Below are 25,928 nucleotides of genomic sequence, written 5' to 3'. Positions count from 1 at the left end.
TGAATGAGAGAAGCCTGACACAAAGGGGCACATATTATATGATCCCATTTGTATGAAATATTTAGAATAGGCAAGACCATAGAGACAGAATTTAGATTAGTGGTTACCAAGGGCTAGGCGGAGAAGGCAAATGAGTAACAGCTAATGGGCACAGAGTTTCTTCTGAGGTAATGAAACGTTCCGAAATTAGTGGAGATAGTTGCACAACTTGGTAAATATACTAAAAACCACCAAATTATACATTTTAAAAGGGTGAATTTTATGATATATAATTATATCTTAATAAAGTTATTTTTAAAAAAGAGTATAGAATGGTCCTCAAACCAAAAAAGTTGATACCTATTTTTAAAAAGAAAAGTGCTTCCCATTAAACTATATGTATGTTCTTATCATTTAGAATTTTTTTTTTGAGGCAGAGTCTTGGTCTGTTGCCCAGGCTGGAGTGTGGTGGTACAACTTGGCTCACTGCAACCTCCACCTCCTGGGGTTCAAGCAATTCCCCTGCCTCAGCCTCCTGAGTAGCTGGGACTACAGGTGCGTGCCACCACGCCTGGCTAATTTTTTGTATTTTTAGTAGAGGCGGGCTTTCACCGTGTTAGCCAGGATGGTCTCGATCTCCTTACCTGTGATCCGCCTGCCTTGGCCTCCCAAAGTGCTGGGATTACAGGCGTTAGCCACCGTGCCTGGCCCATTTAGAATTTTTAAAATATCTGTTGTATGAGCTCTTTCAGACTTTTCTAGACATAAATTATTATCTTCCTTGTGCATAAATAAAAATATAAGCAAAAATAAATGTAAGCAATTCCTAAAAAGATTTAAAGCAAATGTTTAAGATTTTGAAAATAAAGTTGAAGATTCGTAACATAATGAAGGGAAGCTTCACTGGACACTTTGAATACTTAAAATGTAAAACTATTTATATTATTGATTGTTATAGGGATCTCCATCCACCAAGCGAAGGGGTCAGATGTTACAGCCAATCATAGAAGGAGAAACTGCACATTTTTTTGAAGAAATCAAGGTAATCCTTTAAAGAAATAATTATCTGATCCCTTCCCTAAGGGAAGAGTTCAAAGACAAGGCATGTTTGATTCTCTGTTTGGATATCTTTTTAGGAGGAAGAAGAAGATGGTGTTAATCTGTCCTCTGAGTTAGGTGATATGTTGAAAACTGCAGTACAGGTACAGTCTTCATTAGAAAACTCTGAATCTGATGTTGAAGAAAATCAAGAAAAACTGGCTCTGGATCTCCGATTGTCAAGTTCTCGAGCAGCTTCTATGTATGTATGCTGATTTGTGATTTTAGCCTATTTTTATAATAAAATGTATATGCCAAGAAATTTGATGTTAAATGAGTATTAAGGAATTAATAGGAGATGAATCAAGAATTTATCAAAGGACACATGCTTTTCAAGTGTGATTTGCAAATATTTATTGTCATTCCCATTTTTAAATAAAACATTACTGTATTTCAAAAATTAAAAAAAAATCTAGCCAGGCACAGTGGCTCATGCCTATAATCCCAGCAGTTTTTGAAGCTGAGGCAGGAGGATCCCTTGAGGCCAGGAGTTCAAGACCAGCCTGGGCAATATAGTGGGACCCAGACTGTATAAAAATTTTGTTTAAATTAGCCAGGGGTGGTGGTGTTCGCGTGTAGTCCCAGATACTTGGGAGGCTGAGGCAAGAGGATCACTTGATTCTCTGTTTGGAGGATGTTGAGGCCACTGTCGCACCGCTGTTCCAGCCTGGGCGACAGAGTGAGACTCTGTCTCTAAAAAAGGAAACAAACAAATAAAATCCTACAGTTGATTTATAACAAAGTACAGGAACTAGTTGCGAGTTGATCTTTTTGTTCTATATCCACTTCTTTACCTTTGGATGATATGGTGTATGTCACTGGTTCTGAGCCCTGACTTCACTGGGAAGATTTTAAAGTACTGATGCTTGAGTCCTTCAGCTATTCTGATTTCATTGGTTTGCAGTGGAGCTTAGGCATTGGTAGACCTAACAGTTCCCCAGCCACTTTTAATTTGCAGCCAGAAATAGAACCTCTCTTAAGAATATAATGAATCAAGTGTGCCCTTCAGTATTTTACCATTTCAATTCTAGGCCTGAATTATTGGAACAACTTTGGAAAGCCAGAGCTGAAAAAAAGAAACTACGCAAAACGTTGCGGGAATTTGAAGAAGCATTTTATCAACAAAATGGAAGGTTTGTTGAGCATCACAAAATTGAGTCATCTTTCTTCTCTAACTCACAAACTGACCATATGTTGAAATAATGGAATACGTGGGATTAGAAATTGTGCATATAGGATGCTAGCACTGAAAAATTTTAAAACATTCCTTTATGCTCTGAGGCCCTGCTTTTAATGGCCAGGAATAGTCACAGCCAGTGTAAACAACATCTGATTAACTATTTTCGGATTGTCCTAGGGAGCCTTGGTTGTATTGCAGTGATTTTATATTCTTTAATTCTACATCCTTACCCTTTTGGGAGTGGTTGTGAAATGAGATATCTCTTATTTTAGAAAGGATCCCATGACAGGAGTGGTATCCTTAACTAGTTTGGATTTTTTATTTTATACTGAGACCATTGTGTTCATACTGTGTGTTGAGGTTGCCCGTTTCCAAGGTGTCTAACAGTGTGCCAGGCATGTGGCTCCTATAATACAGTATGGCACATGCCTTTATCTAACTAGGTAATGCACAGTTGACTTGGAAGGGCTCTTTTTAAAAACTAAGAAAAATACATTCCAGTTCTGATGGTGGCCAGAAGTTTGGGTTCAGTTATCTCAGGCCTGAGAAACATTTTTCTAAGTAGCTGGGTTATCTTACCAAGCTGATAGCTAATATTACAAATTCTAAAATATCTGTACTTTAATTCCCTTTGCTTTGTGAGTCTCCTATATAGGTTGGCACATATGGTTAAAAAAAAATCTGAAGTGGGCCAGGCGCAGTGGCTCACGTCTGTAATACCAGCACTTTGGGAGGCTGAGGCGGGTGGATCACGAGGTCAGGAGATCAAGACCATCCTGGCTAACACAGTGAAACCCTGTCTCTACCGAAAAATACAAAAAAAATTAGGCAGGCGTGGTGGCGGGCACCTGTAGTTCCAGCTACTCTAGAGGCTGAGGCAGGAGAATGGCGTGAATCCGGGAGGCGGAGCTTGCAGCGAGCTGAGATGTCGCCACTGCACTCCAGCCTGGGCGACAGAGCAAGGCTCTGTCTCAAAATAAATAAATAAATTGAAGTGCAGAAATGCATTTTTCCAAGTGTCTACTGTTTCATTGTATTATTGGGAGAAAATTTTGCTTATAGTTAGGATAGTTTGATGCTTTAGCTAGCGATTAAACTGAATTGCATTGGGTCATTACTATAAAGTTAGAAAATTACTCTTGTTGCAGATAAGATAGTTTACTTTTACATCTCAATTCACTGGAGCCGCAGTTAACTAAATGTATTAAATGACTCAGTGTAGCCTCCAACACTTAATAGACACTCACAGACCTGGCAGAGTCTAGCACTGGATGTCCTGTTAAAATACTGGGTTTCCTCCAGTTATCTATGTTGATTATTTATAAGTATAGCATCATTTAATCTATCAGTAGAGAAGTCCATCAAAAATTTTAGAAGTGTTCCTTGGGGATGAGGGTATTAGTTCAATAACCTTTTTTTTTTTTTTTAACAGAACAACTTTTTATTTGAACTTATGTTTAGTAACAGTATGTCTCATATTAAGACAACTTTTGGATCTTTTTTTCCAAATGATCTCTAGAACATTACAAATTTTATTTTCTCCCCTAGGAATGCCCAGAAAGAGGATCGTGTTCCAGTGCTTGAGGAGTACAGAGAGTACAAGAAAATTAAAGCCAAGCTTAGGCTTCTTGAAGTTCTTATAAGCAAACAAGATTCTTCAAAATCCATATAAGATACGTTCCTTGAAAATTCATATCATAAAGTCAGTTGTATTCCTTGAAGCTATCATCGTGTGTACTTGGCTGGTACTTAAATTCGTTTTGTCAGGCACTCAGAGAATCTCATTTTGTACTTGGTTGTGGTGCCACTAAACAAAACAAATGATGGGAGAGTAAGTAGGCCCTCTCAAGGGAGCGTAAGTGATGTTCCATATTAACCACAGACTGTCCTCTCCACCTTTAGCAAACATATGGTTTACTTCATTGTTTTGTACTACAGATACATCCTTTTAGCAAAAGACTGGAATTTTATCCTTTCAACTTCAAGAACTTTGGAAATGCAAGCTTTTTGTTATTACCAACTTTTTGTTTCTCATTACTGAAGAAAATTGGAGGAAAATCTTCATACTGAATTCTTCTGTTGCCTTTTTCTTACAGAATGACTGAAAATTTGAAAGAAAAGCCTATAAAAGTGCACATACGCAACTGTGTTCTCTGTTTTCCTAGAAAACCAAAATCAAACTGAGATTTCAAGTCGTACTATGGAACACCTTTCTGTTTAATTCCCAAAGTGACATCTTCTCACAGGTAGTATGTTAGTAAAATTTTGCAATTCGCTGGTCACACAGCTCCCGGATGAAGATAACAGTTGGTAGACCAAAAGGTGACCTCGCTTAGTATATTGAAAACACACACCACACATCACACACAGAACTGAATCATACCACATGCTGCCTATGGGACTTCAGTTACTGTTTCCTGAGTTACTGTTTATCCGCTGGCAATGGTGTGATTTGTCTGGATCAGATCCGCGCTATTCCCCAACCCACCTCCAGATAATGTGAGAAAATAGCCATGTCAGTATGTAGGAACTCTGATGGTGCTCAGATTTGTGTGTTCAATCAATGGGCTTAAATCAGCAAAATATTATGCCTAAAGTAAATCTGTTCTTAACAAGGGCTCTACCACTGCATTTTCACATGTACCTTCAGGGGGTTATCTTTTTTTTTTTCCCCTCCTATTTTAATCAGCAAAATCCATACCAAAACAACGACAACAACGCCCTCTTAAGGGACCACCCTTTGGTCAATCATAACATGCTGTTTAAAGCAGCTGTTTACAGGATGTGTAGTGGTATGCCCCTTGTCATATACTCTTAGCATATCTTTTTTTCCTTTGGCTTTGCATGGCTTTTCTTCAGGTACTGTCTCGGTATCATTCTGCTAATCATTGTTACAGAATGGTGACTTCATTTGTGCTAACAGTACAACAGCAGATTTGGGTCAGGCTTAATCTAAGTGTTAACTTTTTTTTCTGGTGCTTTTTTGGATTGATGACTGTCTCACTTTGACTATACCCATGTTTTGCATGCAATGACTCATGCATGGTTTTCTTAACTAGCTAATATTAACAATTTATTCCATATAAAAATGGAATTTTGCAACATCCTTTAATAAGGTGAGGGAAGCATGAACCTCAGACTTCTGGCACTATTACATAGTAAGCACATGAAGTAGTTTGATAATAAATAGCAGTTCTAGTACTTCACATTTCACCCGTGTGTGCAATGCCTTTTTCTGGGGGGTGGGGGGTGAGGGAAAACCTGGTAGTGAATGTGTAGTTGGGGAATAAAGAAAAGCACTAAATCCTGCCCTTTTTGTGTGGTTTCCTTTTGATACAACTAGGTTATTCATAATGTATACCTAGAAAAGTGAAATTGAAAATACCAAAAGATGTATCATTTTTATTTGAATCCATCATGCAGTGTACATTTCAGATAATTTCCTTCAGTCTCCAGATAGGAGTGTATCCAAACATCTAATTTTATGTGCACTGTGTATCTTATATGAATGTTTTATTTTATATACCACATGCAAAAATGTCCATATGCACTATTTAAATGTTTTAAATAATATATTCCTTCTTTATAATGCTAAATCTATATGAGTACCATATTTTTATAAGTCAGTGGTCTGACTGGTTTCATTTTAGAATTAACAGCTGCTTCAATATGTTATTCAATGTTAATGTTTGGCTGTGAGTAGAATATGTAAAAGTGGCATGGCAGCACTTATGCTCTGTGACAGTATTGTGTGTCATAGTTGAGCAGTAGCTGGTAGAATTAGGCAGTTGGTGATAGTTTTACTTTGGTACAAATAAAAACTGTATATCTATATACAAATAATATATAGATATATATGTCCACCAGTATAATGGCATTGCTGTGTCTGGCACTTCATTGTACAGACTTTTATAATAAAAGAACTTGAAAGTTCTAAGTCATTGTAAATGTATGTTTGTTTTTCCACTGGGCTTAAAAAAAAAAAAAAGACCTCAAGTGTTCCCTCAGCTTAGGCTTTGTTTAAATGATCCCACCCAGGGGCGATGGTAGGGAACAACAGGGTCACTAAACTATTTGGCTGGCTACAACTCTGGGAAATGGTAAGACAGGGAAAGGCCATGTTGTTCATTCCCTTGTGCAGATCTAGGGAGAAGCCGCAGAGAGAACAGTTAGCATTTCTTGTTACAATGAATTATCCTATTAAGAACACTGGATGTACAGTCTCTTAAGAGAAGAGCTTGTCCTGAGGAAGGTGAGTAGTAATCTAAAAATGTCTTTATATTTGAGTTTTAAAATTCAGGAACTATTGAGCATCAATGTGGAAGTTGAGTGCTGAGGTCAAATGATGTTGCTTGGGCTAAGAGAACATATGGCTATCGTAGGGGGGCTTACATAGCCTAGAAAAATTAGAAGAGTTTCTCTCCAATTTCCAAAATGCCAGCCACACACAACTTTCCAACCCTCCAAATAAGGCTGTTACAGCATCCTCATTTACACTTTCCAAACATAACTTATGACAGTGATACGCCTACCCTGCTCTGTATTTTATTTTTGGGAAACCTTAAATGCATTACACCTTAGAAATGGTCTAGGTAAATTTCCAGTTTGAAGATGTTAGTGAGATTTCTGTAGGTGGCTGGGGAGTTTGTTCTACACTTTGGCTTTTTCCAGAAGGCTTCAAATTCTAAAGAATGGAGGGAGGTTACTTTACTTGGGTCTTATATAATGGTTTCCCAGAATCCTAAGCCTTTATTAATTTATCTGTGGCCAAAGGAATTCAGAACATGGTACCTGACGCACTTGATAGCATCAATAGTTTTTCTACTCTGTAACTATGAGAAAACTGTCTTTCTCTACCTACTGACTGAACTACTGGAGACCTGCCGCCTGAACTAGAAGCATTTTCTTGTACTTTCACTTTTCTAGAATTTGATAATAAACCTCATTATAAAATCCTTTGTACCAGTGTGTGTATACTGGAGGCTTGTCATAATATGCATGGATTGTATAGTGAGTCCCTGTCAGAGGCACTTCATTCTGACCCTAAGGATAGTTTGATGATAGGTTGTTGAGTACTTTTTAAAGTGTGCCTGAAAAGGGCACAAGTTTATGAAGTAATACATGAATAAGAAATGCTCAATGGGCTGGGTGCGGTGGCTCACGCCTGTCATCCCAGCACTTTGGGAGGCCAAGGCGGGTGGATCACGAGGTCAGGAGATCGAGACGATCCTGGCTGACACAGTGAAACCTCGTCTCTACTAAAAATACAAAAAATTAGCTGGGCACGGTGGCGGATGCCTGTAGTCCCAGCTACTCGGGAGGCTGAGGCAGGAGAATCGCTTGAACCCGGGAGGTGGAGTTTGCAGTGAGCCGAGACCACGCCACTGCACTCCAGCCTGGGCGTTAGAGCGAGACTCCGTCTCAAAAAAAAAAAAAGAAATGCTCAATGATTGCATCACAGATTCTTACCTCCACTTGTCTCAATACTATAGAGCTGAAACCTTTCTCACCACTTGATTTAGCTTCAAATTGATGTAGTGTAATTCCTTCTCCAGCTCCACAGCATATAAAAAAAGTCTAGAAAATTTCGAAGGAAGTAGAGAATGAGTCAGTAATAAACTTTCATGTATAGACAGCAAGTTACTAGTGCGAAATGCTTTGGGAAGATAGAATTGTAAGCTCCTAAAACATGCCTCTTGTGGCCAGTTATAGATCTAATATTCTAAAGCTATGTGGAGAACAGGATCTGTTATGCAAATCAAATATAGATGGCAGTTTCTGTTATTTAGAGATAACAGGGATGTAATCAAAAGCTTCTCACCTTGTAAGCAAATGGAGTCATATGCAACTTTAAAACTGGATAGAAAGTAAATAAAGGCATCCTAATAGAGTAAAGTTTTGGGTTCAGGAAAATAATGTGTTTAACTCATGTCCTTAATGCGCATGTCATGATATCCCATAATAGTCTGGTTAGAACATAAGCTTACTCTCGAAATTCTTCTTGAGTGACAGGCTGGTAGTCATCTTGAATTTCCATAGAATAATACTTTTTCTCAAGCCTCTCTTTCCATTTTTTCATCTGCTCTGCGTTTTGAATCTCCTGTCAGGGTAGAGGACAAGTAAAGGCTGCAATCTTTAGTTCTCTATTTCAAGTCTTTGGCACACAAGCATCACAGGATTGAGGATCTTAAGCTGTTCTCCTCTCCAGCCCTCAGATTTTGAGCCCTGCTGACTTTTTGCCCTGCCTAGATTTTAGATCTGTGCATCAGCAAAGTCACTTCAGAGGACTTGATTGGTGTAATTGCTGTCTAGCATAGTTAGGGAAGCTTTGTAAACAAATTATAAATTACATTTCACTGCCTTTTCCCTTTAGCATCTCCATCTAAATTATTTTCTCTTTCTTGTGATCAAAGCTAAGATGTTCTTTCTGTACCTCTGTTATTTAGCAAATGTAACTAGTAATTAGATTCAAAGTGTATCTGTGGGTATTTTTGGCCTTCCCAGCAGCTTCTCAGTCAGATGACTTCAAAACCCCCTCTTTGTAATTACTGCATTGGTTAGTCAATGTGTGTACTCCAGTCTGTCTACGTATCCAAAAACAAGCCCTTTGTACCACAAAATTTGTATTGCTGAACCTTCCTGTGCACTGTTCTCACTACCACCTGCTTTCCTTACAGTGTCCAAATACCCTTTTCCCAGCTACAGATAAAAAGGGCCTGTGTGTTGTGGAAAATAACCATAGCACTAGAAAAAGGTAAAGAGGAGACAATGCACCCAGATGTGATTCAAAACCTTCTCAGTAAATTTGTATGATACTTCCCTGCTCCAGCAATAATGCTAGGTAGCAAAGTGGATCCCTTTATAAGGGTTATGATTACCTTCCTCAGAGAGGATGGTGATGCCTAGTGCCATACACTCTGTGGTTGCTTGATAAGTGTGTACTCTTCTGGTCAGAGAAACTATCTTAGAGAGTGCCTTTCTTTAAACCAACATTTTTTTTTCTTTTGTGTGTGTGTGTGACAGTCTCACTCTGTCACCCAGGCTGGAGTGCAGTGGCACGATCTCGGCTCACTGCAGCCTCCCACTCTGTCACCCAGGCTGCAGTGCAGTGGCACAATCTTAGCATTCGATGTGGAAGTTGAATGCTAACCACCCCTCCCGGGTTCAAAGGATTCTCCTTCCTCAGCCTCCCGAGTAGCTGGGATTACAGGCGTGCACCACCACATCTGGCTAATTTTTGTATTTTTTTTTAGTAGAGACGGGTTTCGCCATGTTGGCCAGGCTGGTCTTGAACTCCCAGCCTCAAGTAATCCGCCTGCGTCGGCCTTCCAACGTGCTGGGATTACAGGTGCGAGCCACCGCGCCCAGCCTTAAACGAACATATTCGAAGTAGGAAAGGATGGCTTTCAATCCTAGTTTTGTTTTGGACACATTATAGCACCCATGGTTTGGCTCATTTACTAATACTTTTAATGTGCTAAAGTGGTAGTCCCTGAAACCATTTCTAAATGACCAGGCCAATTATAAAGTGGATGTATTAGTAATAAAAGTAAAATAGACTATGCATAGTAAACTTATTTTAAAAACCCGTCTCAGCCATCACTCTTTTTGTGAAGCCTTCCTTGACACTTAGAGGAAAGTGGTACCTTTCCTCATAAGCTGAGCACCAACTCTTTGGTGACCCTTGCTCCAAGCTCCTACGTCCTGCTCGCCCTACCACCTTCCCTTGTGGTAGCTGCCTCCTGCAGTTAGTTGTCTCTGGATGATCTTCATGTTCATATTGGCCCTTACACTCCTGCAATATCTCAGAAGCAAATTCTGTATACCAAACTCCCTCTTTTTAAATTACCTAAGTGATTTCTGTTTTTCTGACAACTCTTAACTGATGAATAATTGGTAGCAGGGGAGACCCAAAGAAATAGACCCTCATAGATTGCATGCTTCCACCAAGGGGCACAACAATTGACTTAAACTGAATTTGAGACTGCCACTTGACCGTTTGGGATTCCTCATGCCTACAGAACCAGCAGGGAAAGAAGTGGTTATTTATGTGTTGAGGTGATTGATGCGAATTACCAAGGGGAAATTGGATTACTGCCACAAACTAGCACAGAGCAGACTGTGCCCAAGGGATTCTCTGGTATGCCTCTTAATACTTAGATGTCCAAAAGTAAAAGGTAATGGGAAACCACAGCATTCTGTTAAAGGCAGGACCACTGAGAGTTCAGATTCTGAACTAATTAAGGTTATTCCTAATGCAGCTGGCTGAGCTCTTGGCTGTAGGCAAAGGGAATGATACGGAATGGGTAGGAGAAGGAAGTTATAAATACCAACTGTAGCCTTGTAATCTGTTACAGAAACAAAGACTGTAGCCCTATTCCTATTTCCTTCTTTGCTTGTTATGTGTATATTTTCTTTCTCCTTTATCTAAGGAATACTGGTGGTGGCTAACTGTAGTTTAAACATTAGGTTGCAAAGTATTCTTAAGGAATTGTGATTCAACTAGAAGAGGTCATAATATCCACAGATGGATACAATTACTGTTGGGACTTTGCTTCTCCCTTTTTAGGGAGAAGGTGAAAGTACCTTCATTTGTATAAAGGATAGTTTGATCTTACTGGATAGAAGCTTGGAATCATCATTTTATGGAAGTGCAAATGTGTATGCCACAGGAGTGGAATGGACCAACTGTTCAGCTCAAAATTTACCCTCTTATACTCTGTGATGTTGGGTTTTAGGCTTTGTAAGCTTCATTCCCTAAACTGTTAATACCTGGATTCCTGTTAGATTCTGCCAGTATTTGCAGGATAGAGGGGAGAAAGGTCGTGGGTTTTTTTTTTTTTTTTGGTTTGTTTTGTTTTTTGTTCTGTTTCTATTGGCACTGCTTATGCAATGGTAGTTATCTCCAGCAACAGTGGCTCTAGCTGTAGCATCTAGCTGCTTTTGGCATACTCAGAAGCAGCCTCATCACACCCACTCAAGAAGTACAGATTGAGTATCCCTAATCGGAAATCTGAAGTGTTCAAAATCCAAAACTTTAGCACCTCGATGACTCTCAAAGGAAATGCTCACTGGAGCATTTTGGATTTCAAATTTTTGAATTAGGAATGCGGAACCAGTAGGTATATAATGCAGATATTCCAACATCCAAAAAAAATCTGAACTCTAAAACACTTCTGGGTCCCAAGCATTTTGGATAAAGAATACTTAACCTTTATCAGCAGCAGCAGTGAGGTACCTTCTCATCACAGGACTGAGCAACAGCTCCACAAGCCCCTTCTCTAAGATAGTAGGTTCTAGTAACACCACCTTTTGTAATCTTAGCCCTAGGAGTGGTAACCTCTTCCTGCAGTCATTATTTATGAGTTGTCTCAGTGTTATCATTTCACTTTTTTCTGTCTTTTAATACCTGTGTAGTAATCAATTCACTGTAGTATATTTTCTCTATTTGAAATACATATTATGGTTTCTTTCTGAGTGGGCTCTGATTGTTAGATGTAGTACGTTTTCTCATTTGGTCAGGTGTATTTTTGTGTCTTTTTTTTTTTGAGACAGAGTTTCGCTCTTGTTGTCCAGGCTGGAGTGCAGTGGCGTGATCTTGGCTCACTGCAACCTCCACCTCCTGGGTTCAAGCAATTCTCCTGCCTCAGCCTCCCAAGTAGCTGGGATTACAGGTGCACACCACCACGCCTGGCTAATTTTGTATTTTTTAGTAGAGATGGGGTTTCACCATGTTCACCAAACTCCTGACCTCAAGTGATCCACCCGCCTCAAGTGTCCCAAAGTGCTGGGATTACAGGTATGAACCACCATGCCCGGTATTTTTGTGTCTTTAAGGAATGTTTAAAGTTTTTTATCTTGGTTTTGAACATTTTGTTAATTGCTGGGCATTTTCTACTTTGTTGCTGTTACAAATAAGGTCTTCTATTATAATTTTTACCAAACCAATTGATGTTTGCATATATGACATTTATGTAAATTATTTTTCCTACCAGTTTACCTAATTATCTTTTTATTGTAATTTTTCAGATCATCATATACCTAGAAAATTGAAGAGAATCATAAGTAAAGGCAGTTTTACTTTTTTCAATTAGAAATACCTCTAATGTAGTTCTCTTATCTAATTGTTTTGACTTTACCCCTCCAATACATCACTATCTTGTCCCTGACATGTTCAATGTTTTCCTATTAAGTAAGGTGAAGAGGATAAGATCAATGTTTTTATCATATCAAGGAAATATCATTGATTTTTATTTTTCCCCTCAAGATTGGGTGTTGAAACTTATAAAATACCCAGCATTTGTGGAAAATGATCATGCAGTTTTCCTTTTTTAATGCAATGAATTACGTTGATTAGTTGATTACCCAATTTTGAACCATCTTTTCATGCCTAAAATAAATACTATCTGAATCTTCATATATTATTGTGTGCTGTTAGATTCTATCTGCTAATATTTAGGATTTTTGCTTTAAGATGTATACATGAGATTTCCTGTTTTTGGCACAATATATAGTAGTTTCATAAACGTAATTTGGGAGTTTTTCTTTTCTCTTTGCCAGGGCATTTTCTTTTTTCTCTTTGCTAGGGCAAAGAGGAATAGCTTAAATAGCTTGAAACTGTTTGCTCCTTAAAATCTTGTAGAATTTCCTTGTGAAGACCGTCTGATTGATTTTGGAGACAGCTCTTTGATGACTTCATTTCTTCTACAGAATGGATTTGTTTAGGCTTTTTATCTTCTGGGCTCAGTTTTGATAAATTTTATTTTCATAGAAATATTGCCCATTTCATTCAGTTTTTCAAATGTTATTTTCATAGAGTTATACAAAAAAGTCTATTAGTGAGATCTTTTAATTCCTTCCATTTCTTATTTCCCCCATTGTAATTTCTTACTTTGTATGTTTATGCTTTCTCTCCTTTATTCCACTAGTTACCTAGTGATTTCTTTTCACTGATGTTTGCAAGGAACTAGCCTTTTGATTTATTTATACTACTACTATTGTTTATAACTCATTCTACTTTAATCTTAATAACTTTTTTCTTGGTATTTATCATTTTTTTGAAAATTCTAACATTCACTTCTTTACATTCTTTTATTTTTATTGATAAATTTAAGACTTAATTTTCCTCTGAGTATTTTTTTTTTACTTTATCTCAGATTCTGCTACATGGTGTTTTTATTATTTTGTTTTCTTGGAATTCTATGATTTCATTTTCTTTTTTTTTTTTTTTTTAGATGGAGTCTCACTTTGTCACCCAGGCTGGATTGGTACAGTGGCGTGATCTTGGCTGACTGCAACCTCCACCTCCCGGTGTTCACCTGCCTCAGCCTCCTGAGTAGCTGGGATTATAGGCGTGTGCCACCACACCCGGCTAATTTTTGTATTTTTAATAGAGATGGGGTTTTACCATGTTGGTCAGGCTGGTCTCGAACTCCTGACCTCATGATCCGCCCACCTCAGCCTCCCAAAGTGCTGGGATTACAGGCATGAGCCACTGCACCCGGCCTGTATTTCTTCTTTGACTCGAGTCATTTAATAGAGAGTTTTGATATTTTTTAGTCAAAGAATTTTTTCATTTTCTGATTTTGTTACTAACATTTTTATTATGTTGTTTTCATAGAATTTTTTTCTGCATTAACTTTTGGAATGTATTGAGGATTTCCTTGTGGCCCAATAGGTGAGCAGTTTTTATGAATGAGTTTTTAAAAAGGAGGGGTATTTTCTGAGAGTACAGAACTTAATATACAACTGTACGATCATCTTATTTATTATATTGTTTTGGGCTTTTTAATCCGTTTGTTTTTCTTGATCTGTTCTTTGTTTTTTTTGTGTGTTCCTATTTCTCCTTTTTAAAATCCAGTAATCTTTATTAAAGTTGATACTCTGTTTGGTGCATAGATATTCATAACTGATAAAATTAATCTTAGCCTCATAAAGTTTAGACTTTAGGTCATTTGGAGCTTTTTGTCTAGAATCCTTTGATTTATATTCAGTTGTGTCCCCTGATATCTTTTGTTTGCCTTTTAGGTCTTTGATCATGCTTTTATATTTAACATTTTGGAATCTCTTTAAGTATATATTTTAGGATATAGCATAGAACTGGGTTTGCTTTGTGATTCAAATGTCATCTGTCCTCTAGTAGAATCCTTAGAAAGATGATAGTATTCCCTAAGTTCTTGCATGTTCGAGCCTTTATATTTGAAGCACAGCTTTGCTGGATGAAAATATTTTTCTTTTTAAGTAAATTAAGCTTATTTGCATGTATTTATGTTAGATATATCTGGTTGCAGTTATACTGTTTTATATTTATATTTTAAGTCTTTTACCGTGTGGTCTGTTTTTTTTTTTTTTTTTTTTTTTTTGGCAATTTTGTCCTATAGAAATATATGTATTTTTGTTCTATTGGTTTGTCTTTGTATATCTTTTTTTTTTTTTGAGATGGAGTTTCGCTCTTGTCACCGAGGCTGGAGTGCAATGACCCGATCTCGGCTCACCGCAACCTCCGCCTCCCAGGTTCAAGCAGTTCTCCTGCCTCAGCCTCCCAAGTAGCTGGGATTACAGGCATGAGCCACCATGCCCAGCTAATTTTTAATTTTTAGTAGAGACAGGGTTTCTCCATGTTTGTCAGGCTGGTCTCAAACTCCCAACCTCAGGTGATCCACCCGCCTCAGCCTCCCAAAGTGCTGGAATTACAGGCATGAGCCATTGCGCCCGGCCATCTTTGTGTATCTTTTTATATACCCTTAGTCCTCCCTTTCTTGCTTTGTTTCCCTGCTATGATCAACAAGCAAATTAGCTTGTAAATTCTTCTTCATTGTCCTCTCCTCTACTACCCAATTATATTCAATAATGTTATTTTTCATTGTATGTGAGAGATGACGTCTTTTGTAAGACATAACATTATTTCATGTACCACTTAGGTAAAAAATGTCAATTAAACTTTGACCATTAATTATAAAACACATTCTGATTTCACAGATGTTAAAATGTGAAAAAAAATGTGTTTTAAAATCAATAAAATAGGGCTGGGCACAGTGGCTCGCTCATGCCTGTAATCCCAACACTTTCAGAGGCCAAGGCGGGAGGATCGCTCAAGGCCAGAAGTTCAAGGCCAGCCTGGGCAACACAGTGAGATGCCATCACTATGTAATTTTAAAAAAGAAAAGCCTGGGCCCAGTGGCTCACAGCTGTAATCCCAAGACTTTGGAAGGCCAAGGCGGGTGGATCACTTGAGCCCGGAAGCTCGAGACCAGCCTGGGTAGCATGGTGAAACCTCATCTGTACAAAAAACACAAAATTTAGCTGGGTGTGATGGCGCATGCCTGTAGTCCCAGCTACTTGGGAAGCTGAGGTGGGAGGATCACCTGAGCCCATGGAGGTCGAGGCTGCAGTGAGCTGTGATCATGCCACTGCACTCCATGCTGGGCAACAGAGCTAACCTTGTCGTATTATGTTTCTTACTGGTTTATTAATTCTAAATGATATTCTTTAACTTTTTTTTTTTTTTTTTTTTGTACTTTTTGTAGAGACAGGGTTTCACCATGTTGTCCAGGCTGGTCTCAAACTACTGGGCTCAAGTGATCCTCCCAAAGTGCTGGGATTACAGGTGTGAGCCAGCTCGCCCAGCCTCTCCAGTCATCTCTTGGTTGGCTGATGCTCATCCTCTAATAGAATCCTTAGAAAGACGATAGTATTTCCTGACTTCAGGCATGTTTGAGCCTTTATATTTGAAGCGCAGCTTTGCTGAATATAAAATTCCTTGGTTTACATTTTCTTTCCTTGAATATATTGTAGGTGTTCTTCTGTTGATTTATGGTTGAATGTTGTTATGCTAACCTGATTTTCTTTAAGTAAACCCAAATTTTACTTGGATAAGCCTCTTATTGACCATTCTAGGTAAAGTTTCCCATATACACAGTATGTCTTTCAATTCACGTCACCTTCTATTTCAGGAATGGTCTACCTCCACCTCCCAAAGTGCTGGGATTACAGGCGTGAGCCACCGCACCCGGCCTGATTTTTTTTAAAGAATATCAAATTTAGGCCAGGCAGGAGGTAAAGAGTTCGAGACCAGCCTGGCCAACGTAGTGAAACCTGGTCTCTACTAAAAATACAAAAATTATCTGGGTTTGGTCTCAAAAACAAATACCAAATTTAGATACAAGTTACAAGAACAATACAAATATTTTTTCCTCCTGAAGTATTTGAAAGCCACCAACACGAATGCTCCATCATCCCTGAATACTTCAGTCTGTATTTCCTGCATACAAGGACATCCTCTTTTATAATTATAGTATAACCATCAGAATAAAAAATTAATATTCATAGATTATTACCATCTAATCCTCTGTTTCTCTTTCAAGTTTATCAGTTGCCCCAATGATGCCTTTATAGGAAAATTATCCAGTCCATGATTATGTATTGTATTTACTTGACATATCATTTTAATCTCATTTAATCTGGAATAGTTCCTCAGCTTTACCTTGACTTCATGACTTGACACTTTTGAAGAACAGGCCAGTTATTTTGTAGAATGTCCCTCAATTTAAATTTTGTCATGATTTAGGTTAAGATTATATGTCTTTGACAAGGATGTCACAGAAAGGATGCTAATTCTCATGGCCTCCTATCAGGCAGCATATAATTTCCATTTGTTTCAGTGTTGATAGTGGTCACTTACTTGATTAAGGTGCTGTTAGACTTTCTCCACCCTAACATGACTGCTTTTCTTTTTGTAATAAGTATTTGGTGGAGAGGTCTGTAAACGTCTCATTCATGGAATCCTTTTATTCAATGGGTTATGAATCATTATTCATCATAATGCTTAAATATTCTCAAATTTGGCCAGCTTGAGCTCCTTAAACTGATTCTTTTAACAGATACTCCATCATTCTTTGAGCAGTTTTACTTTATGTCTCAATAAGCTATTCCAGACTCATCTTGTATAGTTGTCCTTTGGTATACATGGGGGATTGGTTCCAAGACCCCAAAGTACACCAAAATCTGCATATACTCAAGTCTCACAGTCGGCCCTGCAGAACCCACATATAGGGAAAAGTCAGCCCTCCTTAGCCCGCAAATACTAAATTTTTGATCCAGGTTAAAACATTACGCATTTAAGTGGACCTGTGCAGTTCAAACCCATGTTGTTCAAGAGGCAGCTGTACTTTCCAGCCCTGGAATTAGCGAGACCTCGAAGGAGCCCCAGTTGGTTTTAGAGGAGAATGCTATTTGGAAGCCAAGATCTGGGTACTAGTGCTCATTGCTACTAGGGTGTCATTCTAGCCCTCATAGTGGATTGGACAGAGCTAGAAAATACATGTATGTACGCAAATAGATCTAGATTCCAATCCAGCACCACAAAGTTCACCTTCAGCCTTTCCATTTGTATAATTCCTTTATCCGAAAATGAGAACTTCAATATTTATTTGCTTGCTTATTACAGTCTCCTGATTCTGCTGCCTTCTTTCTGAGCATTTAGAGGGGAGAGGTGGTGACCAGAAGTAGAGCAATGGTTCACTTTTTTTTTTTTAAGTGGTAGTGGTAATAGTATATTTAAGGAACATATATGTTCCTTAAATTCTGCTATTGTCAGATATATGTTACATATTACAATTTTTGAAATACAAAATTGTTAAAGTAATTCATCACATTAGTGATTAGAAGAGAAAAGTTATCAAGTCATCAAATATCTCACTATGAATACCCAGTGTGATATTCACACAGTGAGTGTACACCTGTAGGATTACGTATCTGGCTGAGAGTACAGGTAGGAGAGAGGAAGCATCTGAAATCCAAATGGTTTGTCCTAAACATGAAAGGATCTAGATTCTGGGAGATTTATTTGGAGATGACAATTACTATTCTGAAAAACAGCAAATCATTTCAATTCTTAACCAGAGCGTTTTTGTGAGCATATTTCTAATACAGCTACCACTAGTGTTTATGAAAAAAATTAAAATCTTACATTTTCGTCAAAGCCTTCTCTTCTGGCTTGTTCAGCCAAATCTCCGCTGCCTTTGCTATTGAGAATATAAAATAAAAGTCAGAGGCAAATGACAATAAGAAAGGAAATGCCACCATAAAGTACAATCGGATCTGTAGTAAGGATCTGAATAATATTTCTTCCTGATAATGCTAATTATTTGGAAAATGTGATCATTAACAAGCTCTTCAGAGTATCATATGTCATTAACTGTGAAAAAAATGTTTATGTTCCACTGCCAGAGTTCTGGGTTTGGGAAGTATTTTGACACCAAAGTCATTTAATAAATACAAGTGTAAATACAGTGTAAGTATAAGTATTGTCCGTAAGTATTGTGTGTAAATGTTTTTATTTTTATAGCCAAATAAATGCATTTAATTTAGACTAAAATTGTTTCTAACCTTTTTAGAGGGACTTTATGGTCCCCTCCAGCTTTCTCTTACAGCTTTTTCTGAGTAGGATGGCAGGCATTATATTAATTTTAAATTAGCTAGAATTTCATGATGTCCTCAGAAATTAGGAGGCACTCCTGGGTGTACTGGGTGTATTTAGAATCGCCACATAGGTTGGTGGTGGTTTTGCAATTAAAACCTTATTCATGGCCAGGCACGGTGGCTCACGCCTGTAATCCCAACACTTTGGGATCACCTGAGGTCAGGAGTTTGAGACCAGTCTGACCAACATGGTGAAACCCCATCTCTATTTAAAACAAACAAACAAACAAAAAACAAAAAAAACCTTATAAGGTTCTCATATAATGTGGAACTTTAAAATGGTAAGTTAAACATTTGAGAGAAGTCATCTTACGTTTTCTTGTCTTCATCTTTTTGAGCTTTCTTCAGTCTGAATTTCTCGAGAACATTTTTGTAACTCTGGGCATAATTTAAAATAGTTTGAAAATGCATTAAAATATATCCTTGATTATTAATGTTTTATCAAAGTAAAATAAATATGGAATGCTTGTCCCTCTGGATTGCTACCCTAAAGGACTGTGGAGGTAAATGCTATGATTATCCTTCTTTCACCTCATTGCTACATATGGTTTACGCCTGCTGGTGAAAACCCAAAAGGGGTTCTTCTGTTGGGGGCATTACTCTGGAACTTGGAAAAAGCAAAAATCTTTAAAAAGCGTTAACATGTATTGCGTTAAGGATGTTAACACTTTTAATGAATATAACCAACATCATATTCAAGTGATAAAAGATGGGGAAAAAAGCAAACTAATTGGGGGATAGCTTTACAGTTTTTTTGGTTTGTTTTACAGATTAGTTCTTGGACAAAGTTCGTAAACCCCACTAACCCTGCAGCTACTAGGACCTCTTCTCTGTGAAGTGCTATGCTTTAGAAACATGGGGCATGCAGAGATGGCCAAACTGGCAGGGGAGATGTGACTGGTACACATATAACTCTGCTACAGCTCAAACTGAGGTAGATACTGAGAAGAGGACAGGACAGATTCCACTTTTTGAAGAATAGAATGGTAGCAAGAGAGAAGAGCTGTAGGAATATTTCCGGGGTCAGAGAATGACTTGAGCAGAGGCTCAGAGGAGAGAGAATAAGCGTCACAAAACAGATTAGCCGGGACATACAGTATTGTAAATAGAGGCAGAAAGGTAGAGACTATAGTAAAATTATAGTTAATGAAGACAGGTTAGGACTGTGAGACTTGAGGATTTGGAATATTCAGGTAAGGAATTCGGACTTGACAGGATTAGGGAAACTGATAATCACATCTGGACTGGCACAGGGAAGAGGCTAGAATAGTCAGGAAATGTTACCATAGTGAAGGCTGGGCGAAAAGTACTGAAAGCCTCATCTAGTGGTGGCAGTTAGAATTTAAAGTATTCCACAAATGTAAGCAAGAACTGCAGAGATAAACTATACATGTGCCGTGACAATAGACTATATAAGGGACAAGGAAACAAATTCTTTTCATGGTTTTTGAGCCAGGAGTGACTTGAGAGGATAGTGTAGCCATGAACAGAAACAGGAAAATGAGGAAGACGACACATGGAGTTCTGAGTTTAGATTGTTGATAGAAATTTAACAGCATTCAGAGCAAAAACTTTCCGGAAGGAAGAGAGGGTTTTATTATAATACTCAGCAGCGCTTTGCATTTAGGAAATCACTCAATAACTATTTGATATATTGAACTCTGAAATAATTTTGGCTACATTTTTGAAGTCAGAGAGCATATCTCACTTCTGTAATAATGAAATAATGCGAATATGAGTAACACTGGATCAAAACACAAAACAAACCCTGGGGATGGGATGGGGTGGGAGTGGGGAGAGCACGACCACTTGGAATTAAGTGGTATTCAAACTACAAGAGGATAAACTATATGAGGTTTGTCTTAGAATTCTAATTAGGAAAGAAATTTGACTTACCTGTTTAATCATTTTGCCAAGTTCAAAATCTAGCCTTCTGCCTATTGAATAGTCAGCTTTCACTTCAGAATAGGTATCATTAATAATTGCCAAGAACATATTCTAGGGATAAGTATTCAAATAATTATTTCAATAAAAATTTAGTTTAAATGTTAATGACTTTAACAAGTTTTGGGTTTGTAAAATTATATTTAAATTTTAAAAGTAGGCCAGGTGCGGTGGCTCACGCCTGTAATCCCAGCACCCAGGAGACCAAGGTGAGTGAATCACTTGAGGACAGGAGTTCAAGATCAGCCTGGCCAACATGGCAAAACCCTGTCTCTACTAAAAATACAAAAATTAGCCAGGCGTGGTGGTGCACACCTGTAGTCCCAGCTACTCGGGAGGTGGAGGCAGGAGAATCTCTTGAACCCAGGAGGTGGAGGTTGCAGTGAGCCGAGTGAGATCGCACCACTGCACTCCAGCCCGGGTGACAGAGCAAGACTCCGTCTAAAAAAAAAAAAAAGAAAAGAAAAAGGAAAAACAACAAAAAAAATCAAATTTTAAAAGTAACCCATATAACCCATATGCTCAAAAATGGGGAGATGACTATGCAGACAATAAAGTAGAATAGAAAATGTGTAGTGTGTGGGTATGGGCAAATATGTTTATGGCAAATGAGAAAAGCAGAATGTAAAAGAATGCATATGAACTGGTTATATATACACAAATTAATATTACATAATGGAAGAAAATTTAGAATGAATAATTATGTGTTCATAAGGGCATTTTTTTGTTTGTTTTTGAGACAGGGTCCCACCCTGTTGCCCAGGCTGGAGTGCAGTTGTGCGATCTCAGCTCATTGCAGCTTCCCACTCCCAGGTTCAAGCGATTCTCATGCCCCAGCCACCCAAGTAGCTGGGATTATAGGTGTACATCACCACGCCTAGCTAATTTTTGTATTTTTAGTAGAGACAGCATTTCGTCATGTTGCCCAGGCTGGTCTTGAACTCCTGAGCTCAAGCGATCCGCCTGCCTCTGCCTCCCAAAGTGCAAGGATTGTAGGTGTGAGCCACTGCGTCCAGCCAAGGATGTTTGTTGTTACTGTTGTTTTTTAATTCTATGAAGCTGTTTAAATTTACAGTCTTACTACAGCTCCTGCAACTACTAATGTCCAGATAACACAAATGTAGAAAGGATATTCTTACCCCACCAGCTCACCTTTCACTGTGGCCCAGCTCTGTCACCCTAAGACTCTTGTCTGTCACCAGGGGATAACTTCCGTGCCTGACAAAAAGTGTTTTCATGGAGGACAGTACAGTGCCTTAACTAGAAAGGCAAGATTCCTTGGTTAGGAGGCCCAAATAGACTTGTTCTGAGTGCATGTGAGAGATCCATCCTGATAACTCCTGAAAACCACAACGTGGTAAGTGTTTAGCTGTAAGGGCCAAAAGCCATTGCAATATGGGCAGAATATTAATGGCCACATTCATGACTCATGGCATGCATTGTCCCAGCCTGAAGAGACTTGGGACATTCCAATTATTTATGTGAAGGATTTAGCACATTCCCGTCTAAAACACCCAGAAATTAACTACTGTGATTACATTCTGCAACTTGAAAACAGTCACTGGACTAGTGAACCTGGATTACTAGGGATCCACACAATTCTCAATAAATGTAAAGTACTCTGACAGCTGAGCAGAAATAATAGTTTATTCTAAATGAGTAATTTTACTTTTTATTCTAAAAAGTAAGAAATGAAAGGAATATGTATTATTCTTACCAGCAGGACAAAGAACACAAAAAAGATGAAAGTGATGAAGTAAATGGGTCCCAAGATAGGATTGGCTTGCTGAATACCAGCAAAATTAAAATCTCCAAGAACAATTCGAAATTGTGCAAATCTTTAAGAAAGAAAAACAGTAGAAAATATATACCTTTATGTACATACATGACAACTGATGGGAGTTACTAATGTCTCTAAGAGGATATCTAGCAGCATATGGTATATGCTTTCTGACTTTAATTATGTTAGTACAGAGTTGTGTAAAATTGGATGTAGAAAATTCCCCTAAAGGAAAGACTTAAGGTACCTCGATAGCTGAATAGGTAATGTAGGAAATGACCGCTTTAATGAATGTGAACTCAGTGTTCATCTATAACTTTTTTTTTTTTTTCTTTGAGACAGTCAAACTCTGTCGCCCAGGCTAGAGTGCAGTGGTGCTATCTCGGCTCACTGCAACCTCTGTCTTCCAGGTTCAGGCAATACTCCTGCCTCAGACTCCCAAGTAGCTGGGATTACAGGTGTGCACCACCATGCCCAGCTACTTTTTTTGTATTTTTAGTAGAGACAGCCTCACCATGTTGGCCAGGCTGATCTCAAACTCCTGGCCTCAAGTGATCCGCCCACCTCGGCCTCCCAAAGTGCTGGGATTACAGGCATGAGCCACCACACCCAGCCCACCTATAACATTTGAACCTGAGATACCTGTTTACTAACTGGTTTTGGCAGTGGCCTCCTTGGCCGGCTGTGCCTGTGCCCTTCTAAACATTAGAACTTTGAATTGGTTCAACAAGTGATTTTTCAACTTGTAGAAGGTTTAGACCCAAGAGCCCTAAACTTTCTAATGTCAGTGAAGTGAATTTTTGTCTTAACCAACTCTTAAATTCTGATAAAATAGGGATGCCAACAATTTGTCACTTGCTAGTCTCAAGTGCTGATAATAATACTCAACATGATCCTAAGGTTTATTTTACCCTCTTTGTGATTTTTTTTTTTTTTTAGATGGAGTTTCGCTCTTGTCGCCCAGGCTGGAGTGCAATGGCACGATCTCGGCTCACCACAACCTCTGCCTCCCGGGTTCAAGCAATTCTCCTGCCTCAGCCTCCTGAGTAGCTGGGACTACAGGCGTGTGCCACCACGCCCAGCTAATTTTTGTATTTTTAGTAGAGATGGGGTTTCACCATCTTGTCCAGGCTGGTCTCGAACTCCTGACCTCATGATCCACCTGCCTTAACCTCCCAAAGTGCTGGGATTACAAGCATGAGCCACTGTGCCCGGCCCTATTTTACCCTCTTTGATAGCCTGGTTTGATATGAAATACCACTTAAAATATTTCAAACCTTCCTTTTTCTAATTTTAAAGATGAAAAATGAAGAAATTAAGACTTTGAGTAGCACAGTAGTAACAAGTAGAATTAGAATTTTCTAACTTGAAAATCTTATTTTATTTTCTCATTATTAACTTGCAGTGGTCTCACTGGACGTATCAGGAATATCAGTTTAAATTATGTGTGTGTGTTCTTTATGAGGAAATTTGGAAAAAAATTTTTTTTTGAGACGGTGTTTCACTCTTATCACGCAGACTGGAGTGCAGTGGTGGGATCTTGGCTCACTGCAATCTCCATCTTCCCGGTTCAAGCGATTCTCCTGCCTCATCAGCCTCTCTTGAGTAGCTGGGATGACAGGCACATGCCACCATGCCTGGCTAATTTTTGTATTTTTAGTAGAGACAGGATTTCACCACGTTGACCAGGTTGGTCTCAAATTCCTGACCTTAGGTGATCCACCCGCCTTGGGCTCCCAAAGTGCTGGAATTACAGGCGCGTGGAAACAAATGTTTAATCGTATGTTGATAACTGCGTAATTGGTCAGTGAAAAGGGAGAAAGCCTGCTTGTCCCTTATTGCTTTTGCCAATCACATAAAAGGAGCAAAAAGCTTTAATGAAGGAAGAAAAAGCATTCAAAGAAATGGGCTACATGAAGTCCTAGGACTCAGAGTTATCTGAGATTCCATCCACGGTACCTAGCTGAGACCTGACCAAATCATACCTAAAGTATTTATCTTGCTTTTAATACTGGTTTGTAATGCTTTCCTACATAAGATAGAGAAAATACTGAATTGGAAGGAATTGGTGGAAAGTCTCACCACAAATCAAATATTTTTTCTGGCATAGGAGAATAAGAGGTTCTGTTTTAGTGTTTCTGCCATGATCTTTCATCTTTGAGTTGGGGAAAAAAAAAAAGATGAAGGAACCATTCTCATTCTTTTCTCCTCTCCAGATGTTAGCTTAGTAACCAAAGCTTCCATTCAGCCCTTTTCTGTTAGGAAAGTGTTAAGATACTTCTGCTCTGTAATAGGGAGAATGACAAAAACTGAAGCATTTACTGAATGGTTAGAATCTCATCGAAACTGGAGGCTCCAAATACAGTGTCTCTTTTCTTAATTAGAGCTTAGTTTATCCATTTTGTTTCTTTTTTGCAAGCTAAAAGCACCATGACGCCTCAACATACAGGGTTATATTGAATGAAAATACTGTTTTGTAACTTTTTGATGGCCCTGTTAACTTTAGATAGAGTTCTCCCTTATTGAATTAAAATAACTAAAAGTATGTTTCAAAAGAACATGCCATTTGTCATTAATAAGACTTTCCAGTCTCTCTCTTGAAGTCATTGATTGGGTCACTACAAGAGATTCATCTTTAACTTGAGGGTGTAGCAATTCAGGCTCCCTGCTTGATGTATAGAAAGGTGACTAGATGGTCCTCTCCCTACACACACACACACACACTCACACACACACACACACACACACATTGTGCAGGCCCTGGACCTTGCCTCTGTCTCCTTCCTGAGAGATGGCCAGCAACACAGTTTCTCAACTATTTCGTCTGGATCAGGAAAAAAAAAAAAAAAGATTCTTGGAAGGTGGAAGAGAACCATGGGAAACTTATTTCTCCCCTGTCCCCATCTAGACAACAATTACATGGGCAGAATCTGTCAGATGTACTACTTTGGAACTCTAGAGTCTATTGAAGAAGGCCTGCAACTTCCAGGGAAAGGCTTGGACAGTAAATTGCTGTTAATTTTGGACAATTTCAGCTTTTATCTCAATAGCTATGCATCCCCTACTCATTAGCCTCATGGCTGGGATCCATGCACATGTTTGTGAAGCAGCTTGCATGTAGCTTATGGGAGCCATGTGGGGAATAAATACTATGTCTTTCAAATATTGGGGATCTATGTGGTGATTGCTGATTGCTGCTTCTGATCGTGGGGATGCAGACACTGAGGTGGGCAGCCATTGTTGCATCTCCTCCATTGTTGCAAGACCATCGTCCTTCAGCTGAAGTAATGTCCTTGGGATTTAAAGGGCTGTTATCTTCCCCTACCTCTCACTTTATTCTTCTCTTTTCCTTTTTTGGGATCCAGACATTAAAGAATAGGACATTCAAAACCAACTCCATATCAAGGGTAAGTTAAAAAGTCATTGTGCATGCCCAGGGAAAGGCATAGGCTGAGGAAAACCTGAGAA

General features: G+C 38.6%; 2 protein-coding genes across 54 annotated transcripts in view; one reads left to right on the top strand and one right to left on the bottom strand.

Moving 5' to 3' along the window:
• The window catches only part of FAM13B (family with sequence similarity 13 member B), a 114,219-nt gene extending 108,025 nt beyond the window's left edge, over nt 1-6,194 (top strand). For all 46 annotated transcript variants that reach the window (NR_169824.1, NR_169815.1, NR_169814.1 and 43 more), the window contains 4 exons: nt 938-1,021; nt 1,116-1,279; nt 2,109-2,210; nt 3,806-6,194. Coding sequence is in view for 39 of the 46 variants with exons in the window: in XM_006714648.2 (XP_006714711.1) it covers nt 938-1,021; nt 1,116-1,279; nt 2,109-2,210; nt 3,806-3,929 (474 nt within the window). In the remaining 7 variants the exon portion in view is untranslated. The remainder of the gene's footprint in view (nt 1-937; nt 1,022-1,115; nt 1,280-2,108; nt 2,211-3,805) is intronic.
• The window catches only part of PKD2L2 (polycystin 2 like 2, transient receptor potential cation channel), a 53,291-nt gene continuing 28,769 nt past the window's right edge, over nt 1,407-25,928 (bottom strand). For 3 of the 8 annotated variants that reach the window (XM_017009345.3, XM_011543318.4, XM_017009344.3), the window contains exons 8-13: nt 22,398-22,518; nt 20,633-20,734; nt 19,050-19,114; nt 18,225-18,279; nt 8,245-8,357; nt 7,727-7,834 (exon numbers count right to left, since the gene is read on the bottom strand). In XM_017009345.3, the coding sequence (XP_016864834.1) occupies nt 7,744-7,834; nt 8,245-8,357; nt 18,225-18,279; nt 19,050-19,114; nt 20,633-20,734; nt 22,398-22,518 (547 nt within the window). In that variant the 3' untranslated portion in view covers nt 7,727-7,743. Of the gene's footprint in view, nt 1,771-3,669; nt 4,359-7,726; nt 7,835-8,244; nt 8,358-18,224; nt 18,280-19,049; nt 19,115-20,632; nt 20,735-22,397; nt 22,519-25,928 lie in introns of those variants that run through there. The other 5 variants (NM_001300921.2, NM_001258448.2, NM_014386.4 and 2 more) reach the window with 5 other exon arrangements.

Source organism: Homo sapiens, chromosome 5 (assembly GCF_000001405.40).
Source record: "Homo sapiens chromosome 5, GRCh38.p14 Primary Assembly".
Classification (NCBI taxonomy): domain Eukaryota; kingdom Metazoa; phylum Chordata; class Mammalia; order Primates; family Hominidae; genus Homo; species Homo sapiens.
This window is presented reverse-complemented; position numbering and strand designations above follow the sequence as displayed.